Source organism: Homo sapiens, chromosome 12 (genome assembly GCF_000001405.40).
Source record: "Homo sapiens chromosome 12, GRCh38.p14 Primary Assembly".
Classification (NCBI taxonomy): Eukaryota; Metazoa; Chordata; class Mammalia; order Primates; family Hominidae; genus Homo; species Homo sapiens.
The window spans coordinates 106,407,591-106,429,691 of record NC_000012.12 but is presented as its reverse complement, the minus strand read 5'-3'; the positions used below and the strand labels follow the sequence as shown (position 1 = coordinate 106,429,691).

Genomic DNA, 22,101 nt, shown 5'->3' with positions numbered 1-22,101 from the left:
ACATATATTCTCTGTGGCCACTGTGTCATTATTAAAATAGATTCATATGAACTAAACCTTGAACATTAAATTTACTTTATCTTCTTATGCATTAAATATGTTGTATTATTTTAAATATATTTTATAATTGTATTAATTGTATACATTAAAAATATTCTCAAGGATAAAGATTAAGATTAGAAATTTTTGAAATTTAAATTCATGGTAACATGAATTAACAGTAGAAAACAGTATTCATCAAAAAAGCAAAGCAGGCCGGGTGTGTTGGCTCACGCCTATAATTCCAGCACTTTGGGAGGCCGAGGTGGGTGGATCACCTCAGGTCAGGAGTTCAAGACCAGCCTGCCAACGTGGCAAAACCTCATCTCTACTAAGAATACAAAAACTAGCTGGGCGTGGTGGTGCACGTCTGTATTTCTAGCTATGTGGGAGGATCACTTGAGCCCAAAAGGCAGGGGCTGCAGGGAGCTGAGATTGCACCACTGTACTCCAGCCTCGAAGTAAGATGCTGTCCAAAAAAAAGCAAAAAGAGCAAAGCAGACAATAAGATTTGCTCACAATTCTAAAGAGAAAAACTGCACCTGCCATGGTTCTTCATTCCTCCTCAGAGGACCCAATAAAAGCCAGGAATGTTCTCTTGAGAAAAATGCACATAGAAACAAGAACAAAAATTTTATATTCATTTTTGGACTCTTGTGGATCCCAGGTTAAAAACCCTTGTAGCAGAAAAACTGCTAAGGCTTCAGGAAAAGATTAGATGATCTGTTTGCATTAAAATATGTAACTTTGGGGGAGCTCCCTCACAAATTACAGTTGGCTCACTGTTATAGTGAAGATCGATCACTTTGGAACCTTGAGTTTCTGAAACGTGGGAAAGAGCTAAACTCTAAGAAACCCTATTATAAGGCAAAGAAACACAGCGACCATATATATCCCACAAATGAACCTCTCATATTATTACTTATTTCATTAACTCCTTTTATCCTTGGAGGCAGAATGAATCTAGTAAACTGACTTATGCCCACAGAGTAAGAGTAAATAAGGTAAATAAGTATTCAGCACACAGCTAAAATAAGGCAGCAGCTGTTGGCAAGCAGCAAGTAGATGGGAGTGAAGCCAAGATGTTCAGCAAGAGAATTTGTTCTTGTATTCTGTAGGAGTATTACAAAAGGGAGAGACGAGAAACAGACAAGAGGGCTAAAAATGCTCCTTTGAGAAAAATGTATTTGGTAAAAGCATTCTTCTAATAGCAACATTAAGAATTTTAAAGGTTGATCTTTTTCTGTTGCCTAGAGTGGGGCACACCTGTAACTAGGCCTGCTACTGATTTTTGTAATAAGCAGTTCTATCAGGGAGGTAAAGCAGTTTTCTTTAGGAGCAAAAGAACTACTCAAAATAGCTCTTTTGACCTGAAAATCATGGGTGAGGAAGCAAGGAAAAGTAATTCTAACAGAAGTTTGTTCAAGCATTCTTTGGAAGATTCTCTTCAAATATTCAGGGATCCACCTCAGACGACTTTGGGCCACTAGAGTTTATGTGCCTAAATAGGGACAAAGGCCTGGTTCTCCTCAAATTTAGATGTAGCTGTCACTGTATGGGCCACTCACACAGACACACTATAAAGTTCTAAAGTCAAGTATTGAAGCAAGTTTGCACTAATTCTTTCATCATTAAGGGAATCAACATGGTAGATTATACTATGCTTTGTTGGGGCAAAATCTCATCCATAAAACTAATTTTATGTCTGGCATGCAAAACATGAACCAGACTTCATCAGATAGACCTATAGTTGTTATGCTTTAAGAAAGGAAGCAAAAACCCATCTGATAACCTTTTATGAATAGCCTGAGACCCTGACTACACAGCAGCTGCCGAGAACTGAATTCATCCAGAACTGAATTCATTGCTTATGTGAGGAACAGCTGATAGGTCTTTGAAGAATATAAACCTCCTGTGAAATGAAACACTTTGTATTATTTTGGACAAAAGGTTGATAATTAATAAACCTGCCTGAAATGCGTCAATTTTACTACAGAATAAAATAGGGGAAAGTATTCTTTAAAAGAATGGTTATTAACAGTTCAATGAAGATTTTTCCTCTATATAAGAGTATCTATTTTCTTATTGCCTCATATAACAGCAACTATAATTTGGCAGGAAAGTTATAGTAATAAACACTTCAGACTTTCTTTCAAAGTAGAAATTTGTGCTTTGTAAACATTCGTTTTGATATATATATTTCACCTGGATTCTCAAAGTGCTTTAAGTTTCTGTTCTATTGAATAGGTTTACAAATAAATTACAAAATCCTAAAAGAGTGACTGAAGACTTACGGTAGAAATAGCATTCACCATGCCATTGGTGATCTGGTCTTGGCGCATGTGTTTGACAACATCAAACTGGGCTGCTCTTTGCTTAGGAATCACCTGGTCGGCAATCTTTTTCATTTCAGAATTAAATTTTTTGAACAAGTCTTCAAAAAGAAGAGATAAAAGCTAAAAAAAAAAAAAAAGGTATATGGTGATTTTTCAAAAAGCATTGCTAGATTATTTTAATAAATTTTAGGTCTTAAGATTTTTAAAAAATAAGATGGAGAAACTGCTTAAAACAGAAAAAAAATTGCTATTTTCAAATTCAGTTTGACAGATATGTACATAATTTTCTATGTGCTTAACACCGTGCTAGGCATTTAAACGAGAGCAAAGATGATGACATACTCACTGCATTCAAAGACATTTTCTTTAGACCAGTCACTTCTAGACTTTCAGATTTCATTGACCAATGACCTAATTTTTAATTTTACAGATAAAGTTATATATTAAAACCAAAAAGGACGGGGGGGGGGGGGGGGGACGGTGGAGAAGAATTACCATTATAAACTCTGAAGATATCCAAGATGTTTCCTGTATCATTGGTAAAGGTATAAATTGGTACAATCACTTAGGAAACAGTTTGCCATTATCTACCCATCCCTGTGCCCCAACAGTTCCTCTCCTAGTTATACCTGCTGCAGGAGTGTTTCTCAAACTTTAGCATGTGTAGTAATCACTCTGAGGGATTGTTAAAACACAAATTGCACCCGGGCGTGGTGGCTCATGCCTGTAATCCCAGCACTTTGGGAGGCCAAGGTGGGTTGATCACGAGGTCAGGAGTTCAAGACCAGCCTGGCCAAGATGGTGAAACCCTGTCTCTACTAAAAATACAAAAATTAGCTGGAGTTCAAGACCAGCCTGGCCAAGATGGTGAAACCCTGTCTCTACTAAAAATACAAAAATTAGCCGGGTCTGGTGGCGGGTGCCTGTAATCCCAGCTATTTGGGAAGCTGAAGCAGAGAACTGCTTGAACCCAGGAGGTAGAGGTTGCAGTGAGCCGAGATTGCGCCACTACACTCCAGCCTGAGCGACAGAGTGAGACTCTGTCTTAAACACACACACACACACACACACACACACACACACACACACACACAAATTGCAGGCCCTGCCCTTACAATTTCCAGCTTAGTAGGTCTAAGGTAGTGCCCACGAGTATGAATGCCTAATCAGCTCCCAGGAGATGACAGTGCTGCTGGCAGGAGGAGGGCACTCAAGATACTTATACTAGCTATTCATAGCAGCTAAAATCTGGAAACCATACAAATAATATATAGACAAACTGTGGTAGACTCGTATAATGAAACACTGTAAAACAATGAAAATGAACAAAAAATAACTAACCACAAAATCATGGCTGAGTATTAAAAACAAATACTCAGCAAAAGAAACCAGACATAAAACAACATATATATGGCATGATTCCATTTATATAAGGTTCAAAACCCAGCACAACTACATTATATTGTTTAGAAAGGTACAACTAGGTGGTTAAACTTTAAAGAAAAGTTAGGATGCAAATAGTGTAATTGAAGGAATCAGCTAAAATTTTAAGGACTTCTTAAAGGCCAAATGTGGACTGCCACACAAGTTCAGAATTCTTCTGAAGCCCAGGCACAAGAAGTGTCCACTCCCACTCACAAGTTCCTTTCTGTGGAGTGCTCATGAAAGGCTGCAGTGAGGAGAAAACCTGAGAAAGACCCCTTTGTTGGAAAACAGGCAATAAAACCCTACCTACCTACTTCCCTGGGCTTTCTTGCATAGGAAGCAACACCTAAGTCCCTGGGAAGGGGGCAGGACACCCTCCTGCCTGGCAAAGTCCCAGGAGGCAAAAATAACCTCTTCTCAGAGAGGGACAGAAGCAAAAGCTGTCTGTCCCTAATCCCCCAGGCTCTCCCAACAAACTCTGCACCTACAGTAACTAGCAACAACAGTCTACCCCCGGAAGAGGTCCAGCAAATCCTCTGATTCCAGGAAAAGGTGCAATGCCAGAGAGAAGAGGAGGGAGAAGCATCTTTCCCTAGGGGAGGAGCAGGAAACCTGGTTGGGCAAAGATCCTGCACTGATACACAGCAGGGGCCAGATACCACAGGGAGGGGCAGGAAACTGAAAGCTTTCCTTTAGAAAATGTGGGAAAAAGAAAAGATTGCCCATGCTCAACACTCCTATTCAACATTGTATTGGAGGTGCCATTCAGTTCCATAGGACAAGATAAATAAATAAAAGATATAAATATTGGAAAAGAAGCAATAAAACTGTCTTTACTTGCAGATAATATGTTCATCCACATAGAAAATCCAAAAGAATCTAAGAAAAAAACCTTAATAGAAATAGCACATGTGTTTAGCAAGTTTGCAAGATACAAGGCCAATAAACACAAAGCAACTGAAAATTACTGAAAGAAATTAAAGAAAATTTCAATAGGTGAGATGATATGTTCATGGATTGGAAAGCTAAATATTATTTAGATATCAGTTCTCCCCAAATTGACCTACAAATTCAAATGCAATCTCAATGAAAAAGCTTGCAGGCTTTTATTTATTTATTTGTGAAAATGGAGAAGCTAATTCTAAAACTTAAGTAAAAATGTTAAAATTCCTAAGTTTATAATAATACTCAGAGAAAAAACACCTTCACTATTCACTTCTGGAGGAAATTAGAGAACTAAATCATTATTCTGCAAACAGGCTTAAAAAAAAATCTAGCAAGCATTTACCCCACCTTTCCCATGGAAATTATGTTTCAGGGTAACAAAAGGGATGACAATGAAAGTACTCTTTATTAAAAAATTCCAGCTAATAAATGGACCAGGATGAAAATGTTAGAATATCACTGTTTTGCATGCCCTAATGAGATAATGAATAAAGGAAATGATCATCATCAGATGCTAAATAAAACTATCAGGAGAAAAGTTGATGGGGAACTTAATAATGGATGAATCAGGGACCCAAACACCTAAACCCAATGATCAATTTCAATGGCACAAAAAGTGGATAAAATCAGACATACAGGATAGGATATACTCCCACCACCCATGAAGTGTTCTAGTCCCAAAAACTAAACCAAACCAAAACCGGAATACCATCTATCCTCTAGATTTAACTCCTGGTTTATAAGAAATTTAGGAGGGAGAGGAATATATATATATGTTAAAAGACACCATGAGGGCTGGGCTCGGTGGCTCACGCCTGTAATCCCAACACTTTGGGAGGCTGAGGCGGGTGGATCATGAGGTCAGGAGTTTGAGACCAGCCTCGCAACATGGTGAAACCCCATCTCTACTAAAAATACAAAAATTAGCCAGGCATGGTGGCGGGTGCCTATAATCCCAGCTACTCAGGAGGCTGAGGTAGGAGAATCACTTGAACCCGGGAGGCGGAGGCTGCAATGAGCCGAGATTGTGCCACTGCACTCTAGCCTGGGCAACAGAGCAAGACTCTTGTCCCGAGGAAAAAAAAAAAAAGACACCATAAGGATATGTGAGTTAATTTTAGGTGTCAGCTTGACTGGGTTAAGGAATGCCCAGAAGGTTGGAAAAGCATTACTTCTGGGTGTGTCTCTGAGGGTGTTTCTGGAAGAGATTGACATTTCAATCAGTGGGCTGAGTAAGGAAGATCCGCCCTCAACCAACGTCAGCAGGCATCATCCAATCTTTTGAGGACTCAGATAGAACAAAAAATCAGAAGAAAGGCAAATTTATTCTCTCTTCTGGAGCTGAGACACCCATTTTCTCCTGGCCTTGGACATCAGAACTCTAGGTTCTCAGGCATTCAGCCTCAGTCTGAGAGTTAACACCATCACCTCCCTGGCTCTCAGACCTTTGGACTTGGACTAAACTATACCGCTAGCTTCTCTGGTTCTCCAGCTTGCAGACAGCACATTGTGGGACTTCTCTGTCTCCATAATCACATGTGCCTATTCCCATAATAAATTCCTTCCTATCTTATCTATCTATCTAAAAAATTTTAATGTGTGAAAAGGTGTGAAAAATTTTAGTCATGTCTTTTAGGGACACATTTTTAAGTATTTACAGAATGTGATTTGACATCTGAGATAATGAAATGATTTGATGGCGACAATTTGTTTAAACAACATAATTTGGGGAATAAGGGGAGGGGAAAGAGTTGAGAAGGGTACAGAGGAAACAAGATTGCCTTCTACTGATAATAGTTGAAGGTCTGTGATGGATATATGGCAGTTAATTTTACTATTCTATTTTTGTATATTTTTGAAAATGTTCATATTTTTATTTAAAATGTCTACCAAAAACCCTTAAAAACTTAGAAATAAATCTGAAAGAGGTGCAAGACCCTCATGAATAAAATTATAAATCTTTATTGAAAAACATCAAAGAAAACCAAAATAAATGAAAAGAAAATATTCATGGATAAAAAGCCTACATATTTTAAGATTACGAATCTTCTCCAAATTGATCTACAGTTCCAATGCAATGCCAATTAGAATCCCTAGAAGACTTACTTTGATGAAAATTGACAAAATAATTCCAAAATTTATATGGAAAAGCTAAGACCCTGAAATAGCCAAGACACTCCTAAAAAAGGTAAAGGTACTAATGAATACATAGACAAGCTGACCAATGGATAGACCAAAGAGTCCAGAAAAGATCTGCACATACAATAAAACTTGTTATATGATAGAGATGCATTTTGGATCAGCGAGGAAATGAAAGACTATACAATAAATGGAGCTGGGACAACCAGTTATCCATTTAGAAAACAAATGAAATTGGATTCCTTACTTCATTCCAGATGAACAAAAGAACAAATACTAAACACACAAGTTTAAAAAATAAAGAGCACTGTATTAGTCTGCTCTTGCATTGCTATAAAGAAACAACTGAGACTATATACTTTATAAAGAAAAGAGGTTTAATTGGTTCATGGTTCTTCAGGCTGTATAGGAAGCATGATGCTGGCCATCTGCTCAGTTTCTGGGGAGGCCTCAGGAAACTTACAATTATGGCAGAAGGCAAAGGGGAAGCAAGCATGTCTTATATGGCCAGAGCAGGAAGAAGAGGGAGAAGGGGACGATGCTACATATTTTTAAGCAACCAGATCTCATGAGAATTCTACCAAGAAAATGGCACTAGGAGGATGGTGCTAAGCCATTAAAAACCACCCCCATGACCCAATCACCTCCCACCAGGCCCCACGTCCAGCATCGGGGATTACATGTCAACATGAGATTTGGGTGGGGACACAGATCCAAACCATATCAAGCACTATTAAAAGTTAGATAAGTTGACAAATGGCTGCAACTAAAAGCACAAATTAGTAGCACTTTAAAATACTATAAAGTTGGCCGGGCACCGTGGCTCATGCCTGTAATCCTAGCACTTTGGGAGGCTGAGACGGGTGGATCACTTGAGGTCAGGAGTTCGAGACCAGCCTGGCCAACATGGTGAAACTCCATCTCTACTAAAAATACAAAAATTAGCTGGGTGTGGTGGTGCATGCCTGTAATCCCAGCTACTTGGGAGGCTGAGGCAGGAGGATCACCTGAACCCAGGAAGTGGAGGTTGCAGTGAGTAGAGATCATGCCACTGCACTCCAGCCTGGGCGATAGAGCCAGACTCTGTCTCAAAAAATATATATATATATATAAAGTTATTAAAACAAGAATTTAGACTGGAAAAGGATATCTGCAACACATATAACAAAAAATTAGGAAGCAAAATATACAAAAATCTCCTTGAAATCAGTAACAAAAATGGGAACAACCCAAAAGACATTGCAAAGAAAACAGGAATAGTCAATAAGTACATGAAAAGGGGCTCAACCTCATTAGTAATATAGAAAATGCAAATTAAGACCACAAGGAGATGCCATTTTGCATCTATTAGACAAAAACTTAAAAGTTTGATAGTAAGTCATGGGACGGAGCTCATCAGAAATTCATATACAACGTAATGTAGAAATACTTGGCAAACTAGTGTGACATTCTGCAGTTCAGGTAAAAATTTAACTTGACTCTGACTCCATGACTAGGCAATCCTCCTTAGAGAAACTCTTGCATATGGAAACCAGGAGATATAAATAAGAATGCCAGTGTTGTTGTGTTTTTTTTTTTAATGTCAAATGGGGAGAAACAATACAAAGTCCTTGATCAGTAGAATGAATAAAGTGGTATTCATCATACTGTATCACATCTTGACACAATGGAAAACAGAAATGAAAATGAACTACAGTAACATGCAACAATATAGACACATCTTAATGTTGAAAGAAGAAAAAAATTGCAGAGAAATTATACGGTATATGGATCTATTTCTATAAAGTTCAAAAGTAAGCAAAGCTTATACTGTAATAAATAATTTTAAAACTTTAAAATTAAAGATGTAAATGATATAATAAATCAAGAAATTAAAAAATGCAAAAGTTCAGGATGGTAGGGGAAAATGAAGAATGGAGTAGGGGGTACATAGGTAAATGAAATGCTATTGGTAATAGTCTAGTTGTTGAGTAGTGGCCTTGAGGTTGTTCATTTTATTTGTACCCTTCATAACATATAAATGTAACATTTAAATTTTTATGTTAAAAATTACCTATAAATGCTATTAAACCACAGTGATATTTTAAAACAGTGATTATGGAAGCCAAATCAACGGGATAGAACAGTAAGTCATGAAAACAGACTAGGTGGCTCTGTTTCCCGAATTGGTAGAGTAGGTCCTATCAGACGGATTCATCTGCAGATAATAATCATAAATTCTGGACAAAACATTTAAAAACTTTTTGAAGGCACTAGGGAGTGTCCAAAAGCAGGACACTGAGAGTGAATGGCACTGGGTACACATCTCATTTTTAAGGCTTTTCACCTAAGGGTAGGCCACGTTAATAAAAAGGGTCCAAGCCACACTGGGAAGCTGAAACTCAGAGAAAGACCTGCAGTCTTACTGGACTGAAGAAACAGAAGAAAAAGATCTGAACTACTGGATTTGAGTAGCTGGAAGGTGAAGGGGAATTCCATAAAGGAGAGAACCCAAGGAAGAAAACTCCAAACTATATATATAAACTTTGCCCAAATCTCTGGCTGATCCCTGAAGCAAACATTGAGAGGTGTGGCCCATGTCCATCCCTACCCCCGTGCCCCACTGCCCCACATCTGGGTGGGGACTATTTGACCAATAGAATAAACATAAGTGATGCTGTGACTTTCAGTCTAGGTCACTAAGGTCACACAGTTTCTTGTCTATGGGAAACACTTACTCTTAGATTCCTGAGCCACCGAATGTGACAACTCTGGAAACGCCTGAGCCTAGCTTTCCAGCCCTTCCCACCAACCTCTAGCAGAACATCAACCAACCAACCTCCATCAACACCATGTGAAACAAAAGAATCAAATAGCCAAGTCCTGCCTGAATTCTTGACCCACAAAACTGTGAGGTATGTATAATAAAATGGTTGTTGTTTTAAGCCACCATTTTGAGATAGCATGTAACAGAGTAACACATAACCAGAATGCCAGTTATATCAAGTTCATTAAAAAAAAAAAAAAAAAAAAAGCAAAACTAAATATCTGGCTCACTATAAATAAAAAAAAAGTAGACTTCTTCAGTAATATAATAGATATTATGCATACTAAATACTCCTATACAATTAATTCTATTAGTTTTTTCCCTTTGTACACATCTTTTTTCTTTGCAGTGGAAGAAAAAAGCTCAATATATTTGTGATCTAAGTTAAATAACAAAACATTAAAGTAATATGGGGGGCATATTTATACTAATTAATTTCTTAAAGAATTCTGAGGTTCAGTGAAGTATGTTTAAGCTAAAGATTTTCCAGATTCCATACTGACTATATTCCTGAATGTTTCTGATAGGTAGTTTTTTGACTCAGAATGAAGAAGGTATTCAAAGCAAATGAATCTTCTCCTCTAGCTAGTGCCAAAGAAGGAATTTCCTAAGTGGAACTGGATTTCATGCTTTTCCTTCTTTAAAGTTAAGACATGTCCTTCCACTTTTCTACTAAAACCACCTTTTCAGATAGAAAAGCCTGGATCTTGGATTTGAATTTACTATGTCAGAAGTGTTCTAAAAAGAAAACTTCCTCCTCTGAGAGCTTAATCCTTTCTTACAGTGAGACCCAGCAGTTTCACTCTTGGAAAGAAAGAATATGGGAATGGAAGCAGGTGCAGAGGGGTGAGAGGGGATGAAGAAGCCTATTCCAGCAACTTCCTGTGGAAACTGGCAAAAGGAACTTGAATAAGCATCCTGAACAGAATCGAATGCCCTTAACCTAAACAACAAAAGCTCAGCTCTATTTTAATTAGTCCCTTACACTTAGACACTTTTGTCTCAAATTATGACAAAGTTTTTTTGGATCCCAGCTGAATTTATTGTAGCCCCTTGATTCAAACACAAGGAAATGTCCTTGGTACTAAAGAAGTAAAAAGTAAGAACACAGTCAACAGAAATACTGCCTCATTATTAAATTTTCCTACTCCTAAAATTTCAGTTTAAAAGAAAAAATGCTGTCCAAGTTCACAGAGCAGTGAGAAACCACAAGGCCATCCACACAATACACCACATTATTTAGGTCAAAAGTAAAATGACTAAAAGGGAAGGAATGCTGGTGATAATATTCAATACCTTGGTAGCACAAGGCCTTTCAGCCTGTTTAAGACAGGAGAGTAAAGAGCAAATCATATTTCAGGGAAAAATGCTGACAGCTCATCAATTGATTTTCAATGAAAATGCTAAAAAAATTAATAAAGAAGTTAAGCTGCTGAAATACAGTTTCACCAATTAGCTTAATGTCAGAGAATTCTAATTAGGCGTCTTGAGATTGCTATTTAGTGTTTAAGCCTACAGAGTGCCAAATTCTCCTTTTCACACAAACTGGTTGCAAAATTAAAGACATTAGGCAGCCTTAATTACATTATCAGAACAGCTGGGATTAGGCAATCTCTGAAGTCAAGACGGCATTCTTTTGTCATAGGGTAGAAATCCCTGGCTTTCCAGGGTGCCGGATTTTGGTGCCATTCCATATCTCACCCATACAAAGCAAGCTGCATTAGAAACAAAAAATTTGCAGACAAAGAATAGAGTAATGCTCAGCAAATAATGAACACATTACCGAAAAAGAAAAGGTAGGTGAAAGATTAAGCCTGAAATCGGTAGGTTTTGCTAACACCTCTACTGGCGGCTGGCCTGCCAACCCTCTTGTGGCATCAAGACTGAAGGAAAGCTCTGTGAACCCGCTTGGCCAGTGGAGACAACTCTGTTATCTAAAGCTGAAGCACATTTATGCTCCCTCATCCCATGGGGTGTGAAATTAGCAGCTATTGTTTTTACACATTTTTGCTAACACAATACCTTTTATGTCTTTACATTGTTTATAAAGCTATGTTTTCTTGCACATGGGAACCCTCTTTTTAATTCTAATTTTTTAAGCAACAGGATCAGCTCTCCTTTCCCCCTCCTTACTCCATTCCTTATTCCTCTAAACAATCAACTTTTTTTTAATGGACTCATTTAACACCATGGTTTTTCCGAAGTAAAAAATAGTAAAAATGGGATTGATGGTGAGGATACCCATAATTCCTTGCACAATGGTCAATCTGAAGGTGGCCAAAAACCAAACTGCTAAGTAGTGGCCATTAACCAAACAGAGCTTCCTCAGTAGTCCTGATGCTAATTTTTTTTTCTAGAACCTAAAGTTACTATAATTTCATAATTCTAGTTTTTAAATTTTAGTTGTGGTACTATCTGCTGTGATCATCCCAGCCGCACTATCTCTCATCTAGAAAACTGCTACAGCTTCTAGCCGGTCCACTCTTCGCCTGTTCATCTCCACATCAGATCTTTCTAAACTAAAAATCAGATCATGTCACTCCCCTGACTAAAACTCTTCAATGGTCTTCTGCTGCATGTAGAATGCCAAGTCTCTTCCCATGGCACACAGGGCTCCAGATGATCCAGCCTCCACCTGGGTCTCCAGTGTCATTTCTTACCATCCTGACACCTCACTCACTCCAGCCACACTGACCCTCTATCAGTTCCTCCAGTCCCTAAATTCATTCGTGCCTTAGGAGATGTGAACTTGGTTGTGTCTCTTGCTGGAATGCAGTTTGCAAGGCTGCATGAGAGCAACTTCTCCTTATTCAAATATCGGCCTGCACATATGTGGAAATAACGAGATGAATATAAATGGTTCCTTTCCTCAATGAGCTTACAATCTAAAAGGGGGAAGAAGCATGGAAGTAAAGAATTACATGTTAATTTAGCATGCAAATAAAGACTTGAATAAACTGTTACTGGCCTAAGGAAGACAGAGCAACTAACTGCACCTAGGAGGTCACAGTTTCAGAGAGGGCTCAAAAGATGAATAAGGAGGAGCTCCTCTTTAGAGAGAGGGTGAAAGGGATATGAGGGAGGGGCAGCTTCGGTAGAAGGCATAACTCAAAGGAATAGTGATAGAAGAGCATTATGGTATGTTTGAGAAGATGTAAGTGCCTCACTTTGGCATGAGATGAGGCCGGAAAGGCACAGAGGGGCACGATCATCAAGGACCCTGCAGGCTCTGTGAAAGAATCTAAACATCCTTCTACAGAGGAAACTGTGCTTATGAATTCCATGGAGGAGTTTCAGGGGAAGGGGAAGGAGGCAGAGAACCCCTCTGTCCCACCTCAACCAGAAAGGCTCAACTTTTATCTGTTTTAATATTGGGATTCCAACTGAGAGTTCATGCTTTAAAAACTTTGAAACCTACATCTGAAGCTCAGGTCTGCTGCGGATGCTCCTGGGAAAAGGACCTGTGCTTCACTTAATCACACAGAGAATGCTCAGGAATGTGTTGGGATTGCTTTGTACCAAGTGAATAGGCAGGCACATGGCCAGAGCCTCCAGACAGATGGGAGGGGCAGCCAAGAACAAGAGAAGGCACATGGAGGATTCAAATGTACTGACGCTGTGTTCATTCTTAAACTGAATGGGAATATACAAGTATTTGCTTTATGAGACTTAATGCACACACATTATATATAGTGGTGTGTATGCAATTTCTCATAACTAAAAAGCACATACACAAACAGGTATATGTCAATTTCTGCAGCAACAGACACATTTAACTGATTAAATTCCCCCTTAAGTCAAAGGGCTTGGCAGTAATGGTCAAATAACATTCTCGGACATAACTGCTTTGAAAATCTGTTTCAAACTAATGACAGCAAACCACACCTTTATATAACTTCTTCTGAACTTGCAAAACCTGACTCCAAACTTGCCTGTGACAATGATCCCCAAGGAAGCCCCACTAAGCATAAATTCACAGAGTCCTGAATAGTTTTCAGGGCAAGAGCTTCCAATGGTTTAACTTTAAACTGCCAGTTAATAAAGATATTTGTATATGCATAGAGTGTCTCTGGAAGGATAGAGGACAGTATAGGAAAAGTGACTTTCTGGAAAGGAGAACTGGGGAACTGAGTCAGAGGGAAAAGAGGGTCAGAGGTGGGTCACTTTTCACTGCAAATCTTTTTGTTTAAAATTCTTTTTGCTATGCTATTTTTTTAAATGTTTACTAAGAATGACTTCTGCTATTTTACAATATTTATTATTTTTACTGCTAACATTACTTTTTAAAAATCATAACACTTTTAAAAAAATTAAAGATATTTGTTTAAATTGGTAAAATAAATGAATAACCATCAGAATAACAAAAGAAGTGTCTTGGGCTTTGCAAAATTTCATTCTAGGCCAGTGGTATCATTCACAGATACATATCTCCTGGGAAAATTCCAGGGGACTCAGAAAGTAGTGTCCCTAATTAGGAGCATGCTAGTGCTTTATACACCCATATCCCTAAGTTACCATATCTTTAGTTATTAAGGAAACTTGGCATCCTCTTTCCATCAACCATACCATCATCCCTCTGTGACAACCACAAAGACTGATCTCATAAGTAGAATTGTCACCAACAACATAGACTCTAAATTCCTAAAAGATGATTTGGCTGACACATCATTCCCTAACTTGGTATCTTCCATTAACCACATCACATCTCACTGTAGTGACCTCACTGCTTTCAGAGGGAGCCATTCAAATAGCCTAAGTACAAGAGTGAGAAGATCATATTTGTGTGTTGAAATAATTTTATTAGCACTGTGGAAGATGAATGGAGTTGGGGTGAAGCTAAGAACAGAGACACTTGTTAGGAGGTTACACTGAAGTTGAAGGCCTGTGCTCTAACAGTTACACTGGAAGTAAATTAGAGATATATTTAGGAAGTGGCACAGGCAGGATTTGATGATTTGATGAACCTGATGTGTAGAGTGAAGGAACAGAAAGAGTCTGGAGTGACATAGAGGTTCGTAGCTCAGCAGCATGGGTAGATGGCACTGTTAACTGATTAAGACAGCAAATGAAGAAAGAATATCAGAATTCAAAGGGGGCTTTAAAGTAAACTATTTTAGAACATGTAATTAATTGATTCATTACTACAACAAATATGTGATGAACATTATATCTGGGGCATCTTATTAGTTGCTAAGTTTAGTAAGATGAACAAGAAAGATACAGTCTCTGTCCTCATGAAGCTTCAAGTCTACTGTGAAAATGAAGGGACCTCTGCTGCTTGCAGCATACTGGGTTGGATTCTCTGAGGAGTCTGGTTACTACAATATGACTAGATTCTGGATAAAACATATTAAAAATGAGGTGAAGCCATGGTAGGGAGTAGGGAGCAATAAGCAAACCCAAATGGCAGAGTTGCCCTGAGAATAAATACTGATATCAGCTTAGGGACCTGGAGACTAAATCAGAGTTCAGTGACAAGATGAAGGATGTGAACTTGAAACTCATAATCCTCAGAATCATGTAAGAAGACTTAGAAGTTCCAGGTCAGCACTATTCCCTGAAAAAGAAAATACATATCCCCAAAAGAAAGTATCCCTAGAATAACACCCAGGATCAGAGCTCAATTAAATATGAGTTCATAAACAAAGATCACTAAACTCACAAGGAACCAATCTATCTTGAGTAAGAGTAATCAAAAACAACTAACTCAGCAGCTTTAGAACATTAGATACTGGAATTACTATATTTCACTGATTGGAATTTTTTTTTTTTTTTTTTTTACTTTTGTATCCCATCCTGAACATGGGATACATCTTAGCACTGTGTCATAATTTAACTGGTGATGTGTTTTATTTCTTAGTGGAAATAAAAATAGTGGTCCACCTGATAATTAATGGCATATTAGATTCTAGATGCTAAAATACAGTTATCAAATATGGAATTAAAAAAAGCTATGTAAATCTATGAAGAAATAAAAAAAACACACAAAATAAGATGATCAAAGTGACCACAAAATCATTCTTCTAACTCTTCTGAATGTTTCAGAATTTTCATCATAAAATGCAAAACCAATAAATTACCAAAAATATGTGAAAAAGACTTCTATAAAAGTAAACAACAAAAAACTCAATTACTGAACATGGCTGAATAGAAAATGAACTAAGAGCTAAATTAGAAAAACAATCGCACAGAATGCAGTAAAGGAACAAAGATAATAGAAAAAAGAGAACAGAAAAAAGGGAGAATAGGCAACACTTGAAGAGATAATAGCTGAGAATTTTTCTGAACTGATTAAAGACATTAATCCTTGGGTAGCAGGAACACGCACATACCAAGCAAAAAAAAAATAAAAGAAATTCACACCAAGGCATATCATAAAGAAAACTGCAGAATAACAAAAGCCAAAAGAATATCTTAAAAGTACCTAGAGAGATAAGACAGAACACCTGTGAAGGAACTACAATGGTTCTGTGCCATTCAAGGTACGGTATACATCATTCATCTAATCCCATAACAATCCTATAAGGTACATGGCATGAACCCCATTTTTACAGACAGGGAACCTGAGGCAGAAGGAGGTGAAATATTTGCCTAAAGTAAAAAAATAAAAACAAACAAATAAACTAGTAAATGATGGGAGATAATAAATATCTCCACCACCAAATGGTGACACATAATAAATATCAATCTAGAATTGTACATCTAACAAAATTCTCACTCTAAAGGCCTAAACTTAAGAGCTAAAACTATAAAACTTTTAGAAGAAAACATTGGGGAAATCAAGACACTGAATTTGGTTATAATTCATGAATATGACACCAAAAGCACTGGCAACAGGAGAAAATAATAGACAAATAGGACTCTTTCAAAATTAAGAACTGTTGTACATCAAAAGACACTGTCAAAAAAGTGAAAAAACAACCTATAGAATGGGAGAAAATAATTGCAAATCATATATCTGATATATGTATGTATCCAGAATATACCAAGAACTCCTACAACTCAACAACAACAAGAAAAAAAATTTTTAAATGGGCAAAGGACTTGAATAGACATTTCTTCAAAGAAGGTGTATAAATGACCAATAGGCACATAAAAAGATGTTCAACATAATCAGTTTTTAGGGAAATGCAAATCAAAGTAGTAAAAAGGATACTTGTTTACAGTATGAGAGCTGAAACAAGAAGGCAGAACATTGCCTTGTTAGACTGCAAGTAGGAATGTGTAGTGACTCAAATTTTTTGCAGTTCTGCATATGCCTGCAAATGGCCAATAAAATGCCGCTGAGTACAGATTTGGAGGTTGAAAATACATTTTAGCAAGTAGACAAATTTGCAAATATGCATAATGTGGCTCAACTGTATAAACTGGATGAAATATTAGATAAAACAACTACTTGAAATTCATTGAAAGAGTATCAGGAAGCAGAAAGAAACTGAGGAAAAGGAATGCTTATCAAAAGCAAATGGTTCTGAGTGAGTTTCCTGTTTTATGGCTTTTCACCTAAGGGCAGGCAGTGATCCCTGTCAAATCAGAAGGCTAAAACATGAGAAAGTAAGTTGCAGTCTTACTGGATTGAAGAACCAAAAGAAAAAGATCTGAGCTACCTCAACAGCTAGAATGTAAGTGAGGAAATTCCAAATTCCACATTTAAACTCTATCTAAATCCCCAATTGACCCAAGCTACAACTGAAAGAACTAAATGAATATTTCAGCTGATGTTTGCTGCAGGAAGGCAGGATTCAGAGGTTTTCAGCCAAGTTCAGAGGGTCTTAAAAAAAAAACAAAAAACTGGGACACTCTTTAGAGGAATACAGCAGAATTCAGAGCCTCCACAACTTATCCACAATGTCTATCAGGTTGCAATCCAAAATTATCAGACATAAGAAGAAACAGAAAAACATGAGCCACATTCAAGAGAAAAGCTAATGAAGAGAATGACCCACAAGTGACTGAGACGTTGAAATTAGCAGCAAAGGTTTTAAAGTAGCTATTAAAATACAAGGATGTAAATAAAAATAGGCTTGTGATGGATGAACAAATACAAAATCTCTGTAGAGAAATAGAAGCTATGAAAAAATACCTAAATGAAATTTCTAAAACAGAAAAATACAATATCTAAACTAAAAAATTAACTGGAGCTTTTTAGTTACTTGCTAGCCAAAGATTTTTGGATGCTTGCTAGCCAGTTGAAAGAGATACACAGTCTTGAAATAAAATGTCATTTATCAGCTAAGACTTAAAATGAGATTAGAGATATCCTCACTAACCTACCTCTACCATGTCACCAAAACAATCAGCGGATTGTTTCCTTGATTATTGTCTCTCTCCCTTCCACTGAGACTACAAGGAGTAAGAGAAAAGGGGCTTTTGTCTGTCTTACTCCCTCTTATATAACTAGTACTTAGGAGTATGCCTAGAACATAATAGGTGTTTAGTAAATGTTTGTTAACTGAATAAATGATATTACTTAAAGTCATACTTCACTTTGTATATTATACAGAATGAGGGTAAACATCCCAACAAAAGATATAGGTCACGTACTATTAACATTTAAAGAATTAGGCTGGGCATGGTGGCTCACGCCTGTAATCCCAGCACTTTGGGAGGCTGAGATGGGCAGATCACCTGAGGTCGGGAGTTGGAGACCAGCCTGACCAACATGGAGAAACCCCATCTCTACCAAAAATACAAAATTAGCCGGGCACGGTGGCACATGCCTGTAATCACAGCTACTCGGGAGGCTGAGGCAGGAGAATCGCTTGAACCCAGGATGCCAAGGTTGCAGTGAGCTGAGATCGTGCCATTGCACTCCAGCCTGGGCAACCAGAGCAAAACTCCGTCTCAAAAGAAAACAAAAAAAAAAGAATTAATGTTTTTATAGTTAAAGGAATTCTAGGAGATAATAAGTCAGGTATGAAATGTTTATACTTCAAACCTGCAAACTATATTTCATTCAAATGTTTCTTCTTATGTGAAATGAAAACCAAATTAATTTTCATTAAGGAAAACAAGATTTCTGACATAAAATATTAAATCACCTGTCCTGCCAATTCCAGTCGCTTGTTACCATAATAATCTCTGTCGTCAACTTTATTATCTCCTTGGGCCAGAATAACTCTTCGCACCATCACTGCAGTATAGATACATTTGGCTCGGAAATTGAATTCCTTAACCTGTAAGTCAGAAATTGGAGAAAAATTTTGAGAAAATGGACATTAAAATTTAACGTACCTCAAGAAAAGTATCAATACTATAACATTCAACTAAGAAAATACTGAATTGTTATGATTCTCTCCATTCAAATAAATTCAACTAGTCTGGAAATTTCCTGAGCTGAGATGATGACTTTTCATCATTGTCCTCAGTAACCTGTGAGTACCTCTGTGTCAAAGATGACTACATCAACTTCTTCCCTTCATATAAACTTCATGCCATTCCTTCATTAAAGGTGGAATCTATCACTCCCTTGGGATTGGCCTATGATTAATTTAACCAAGAGAATACAGCTGAAATGATACCAGCCAATTCCAGAATTAATCTTTAAGTCAACTGGCAGTTTCCTCTTCCTTTCTCTTAGAGTCCTGAGACACTAAAGTCCAGAACGCTCTGTTGCACAGAGAGAGAGGCTACATTTCATTTAGTAAAATCCCAATGAAATGGAAAATCAAGGAGGGGCCAGAGATATGAGTGAAGATGCCATCTTGAATGTCCAGCCCAGGTGAGCTTCCAGATGACTCAAACCTCAGCTGCTATCTGTCTGCAACTTTGTAAGAGACCTGAAATGAGAACTCCCTCCTCCACCTTAAGTTAAACCCGGTCAAACCACAGAATCATGAGATACACAATGAACAGTTACATTAAGCCACTAAGTTTTAGAATTGTTTGTCATGCAGTGATAACAAGAATTGTACTAACATGCTGTCTGGCATGCAACAAATAACTGCCGAATGAATGAACAGATGAATGAATTTGTAGCAAATGTTCTAGTCAATCTTCTCTAGCAGAAACACTGAAACCCATATGAATGAATCTGGCTCAATCATAGTAAGTTGACTCAGAACTGATAAAATAATTGCACTGGTTTGTTTGGAGAGACAAAAAAACTGAAGTAGATCCTACATCTAAAAAGACAAATTTTGAGAATGTAGCCTGAGCTTCTGCCAATTCCAAGGAGTATTTATAGGCTTTTCCACAGATGATACATACTATTTTAAAATTTCTTCTTTACTTACCTTAATCATTTAGTAAAATCCCAATGAAATCTCTTTTATAAAATTTATCACTATGACAATAAATCAATAGACTGCATTCAAAAAAAAAAAAAACAAGCAAGCATTCTCCTTCATACATTTTGTTGTTGCTGCTAAGTAATTTCACTAAATAATGTAGGATGTTAGAATTCTGTATGTGTTTCAAATACTCCATTTTCCTTCAAAGGAAGTTTTATTTCTTCTCTAGGTCAATTTACTCTCTATTACTGAGAACTCTGGAATGTGTTAAAAGAAATGTGTTTGAATGTGGTAAAAGAAAAAGTAGCCCTAAAAGCTACTTTGTTATCTTGTACCCACAAAACAATTACATCAATAAGAAGGTCTTTAAAAAGAAAAGGCTCTTGTCCATCCTCAAGAAAAAAAAAAAAAAAACAAAAAAAACCCTCTTACAATCGTAACACCAGTTACCACAAAACCAAGCAGAAAAACTCAGTGTCTGGGCAGCTATAAGTAATTTACATTTTCAATTGGTATTTCGAAAGCTGTATGGTCCTCCATTTAAGTATATATAATTTACATTTTATTGTTCTAATCTTAATGTGGCAAGTTACATGGAACATCTAACTCTTCTAGTTGTAGTTATCTTTCTTGTTAATGAGAAAAATAAAGCAAACTTTCACTAACAAAATTTTCAATTTTCAACAAAGCCCATTTCACATTTTCCTTTTGCATAAACACTGGTAGTAGATTCTCCCAAGACATTTATAAGTAGAAATAAATATGGATATTTACGGAAAATGCCCCTACTGAACTGTATAATGCCACTCGATTAGAGGTACAGTCCATCACCCCCTTGGGATTGAACTCTAACTCATTTCACTCCCCTTTTTAATGACTATATGCTGGAAAGCAAACCCTAGGTCTAAATTGAAATGAGTTAATACTTAGCATATTTTTCCAGGACTGTTCCCAGAGTCATATGGTGAGTGGGGATCTTCTCAATCTAGCAGCAGGTAAGACTTTTTAGGAGAAAGCTAAGAGTAGTTCAGATACTCCTTTGTGGGATACTAACCTGTGGATTATGTGAAAGAGGGGGAGAAAAAAGGACTAACAAACGAACCCAGAATGCTGACACAGAATTGTTGCCTATTTCAGAACTCCGGAGATCTTTTAATACTACATTAGAGGAAAGAGTGGTCTGGGACTTAGGCATCTTGGAGCCTAACCACTCTTATGGCAGTGGTTTCTAAACTTTAGCATGCACTAGAATCATCTGGAGGGCTTGTTAAGACACAGATTACCGGGACCCACCCCTAGGGTTTCTGATTCAGTAGGAAGAGTTCAAGTATTTCTTACAAGTCCCCTAGTGATGCAGATGCTACTAGTCCAGGGAATGTTCTTTGAGAACCACAGTCTCCAAGGAACTGAAAGGCCAGTATACCAAGACAAAGGCCTCTGCAGGCCCACCCTCAAGGACAAGCACTGAGAACTACTGAATATCTGCCCGTGTTTTTCCCTCTACACAGACACACCTAAACAATACTTTCCAAATGCTAGTCATTCAAGTTCCACCATCACGAATATCAGCATATCTCTGTAGTACTTATTTATGTAATACGTCTAATCATCTTTAAACAACCAATTTTAAGCTAAGCTTCATCCTATGCAATAATACCATAAAATCACATATATCACAAAAATGGATTTGATGTGCTAGTTGTATTCCTTCTAATAAGTATGTAATTACTTACATAAAAAATGACCCTGTATCACTGAAAATCATCCTTTATATCACATTTAGGTAAATACTGTCCAAAACAATTCTGGAAAACAAAGTTCTTTTCCCTGAACCATCTATTCTGACTTTATTCCTCACTGGATTATGTATAACCAAACTTTTAAAATGGTAATTTAGGTTCCATGCAACCACAGAAAAGCACAAATGATTTTTTTTTTTTGAGTCGGAGTTTTGCTCTTGTTGCCCAGGCTGGAGTGCAATGGTGTGATCTTGGCTCACTGCTACCTCCGCCTCCCAGTTTCAAGCGATTCTCCTGCCTCAGCCTCCCAAGTAGCTGGGATTACAGGCATGCACCACCACACCTGGCTAATTTTGTGTTTTTAGTAGAGATGGGGTTTCTCCATATTGGTCAGGCTGGTCTCAAACTCCTGACCTCAGGTGATCTGCCCGCCTCAGCCT

The 22,101-nt window shown here is 37.5% G+C and overlaps 1 protein-coding gene across 3 annotated transcripts in view; it reads right to left on the bottom strand.

The window, feature by feature from the left end:
* POLR3B (RNA polymerase III subunit B) overlaps positions 1-22,101 on the bottom strand; it is a 152,451-nt gene that overhangs the window by 80,507 nt on the left and 49,843 nt on the right. For all 3 annotated transcript variants that reach the window (NM_018082.6, XM_017019621.3, NM_001160708.2), the window contains exons 12-13: positions 18,732-18,866; positions 2,334-2,495 (exon numbers count right to left, since the gene is read on the bottom strand). In NM_018082.6, the coding sequence (NP_060552.4) occupies positions 2,334-2,495; positions 18,732-18,866 (297 nt within the window). The remainder of the gene's footprint in view (positions 1-2,333; positions 2,496-18,731; positions 18,867-22,101) is intronic.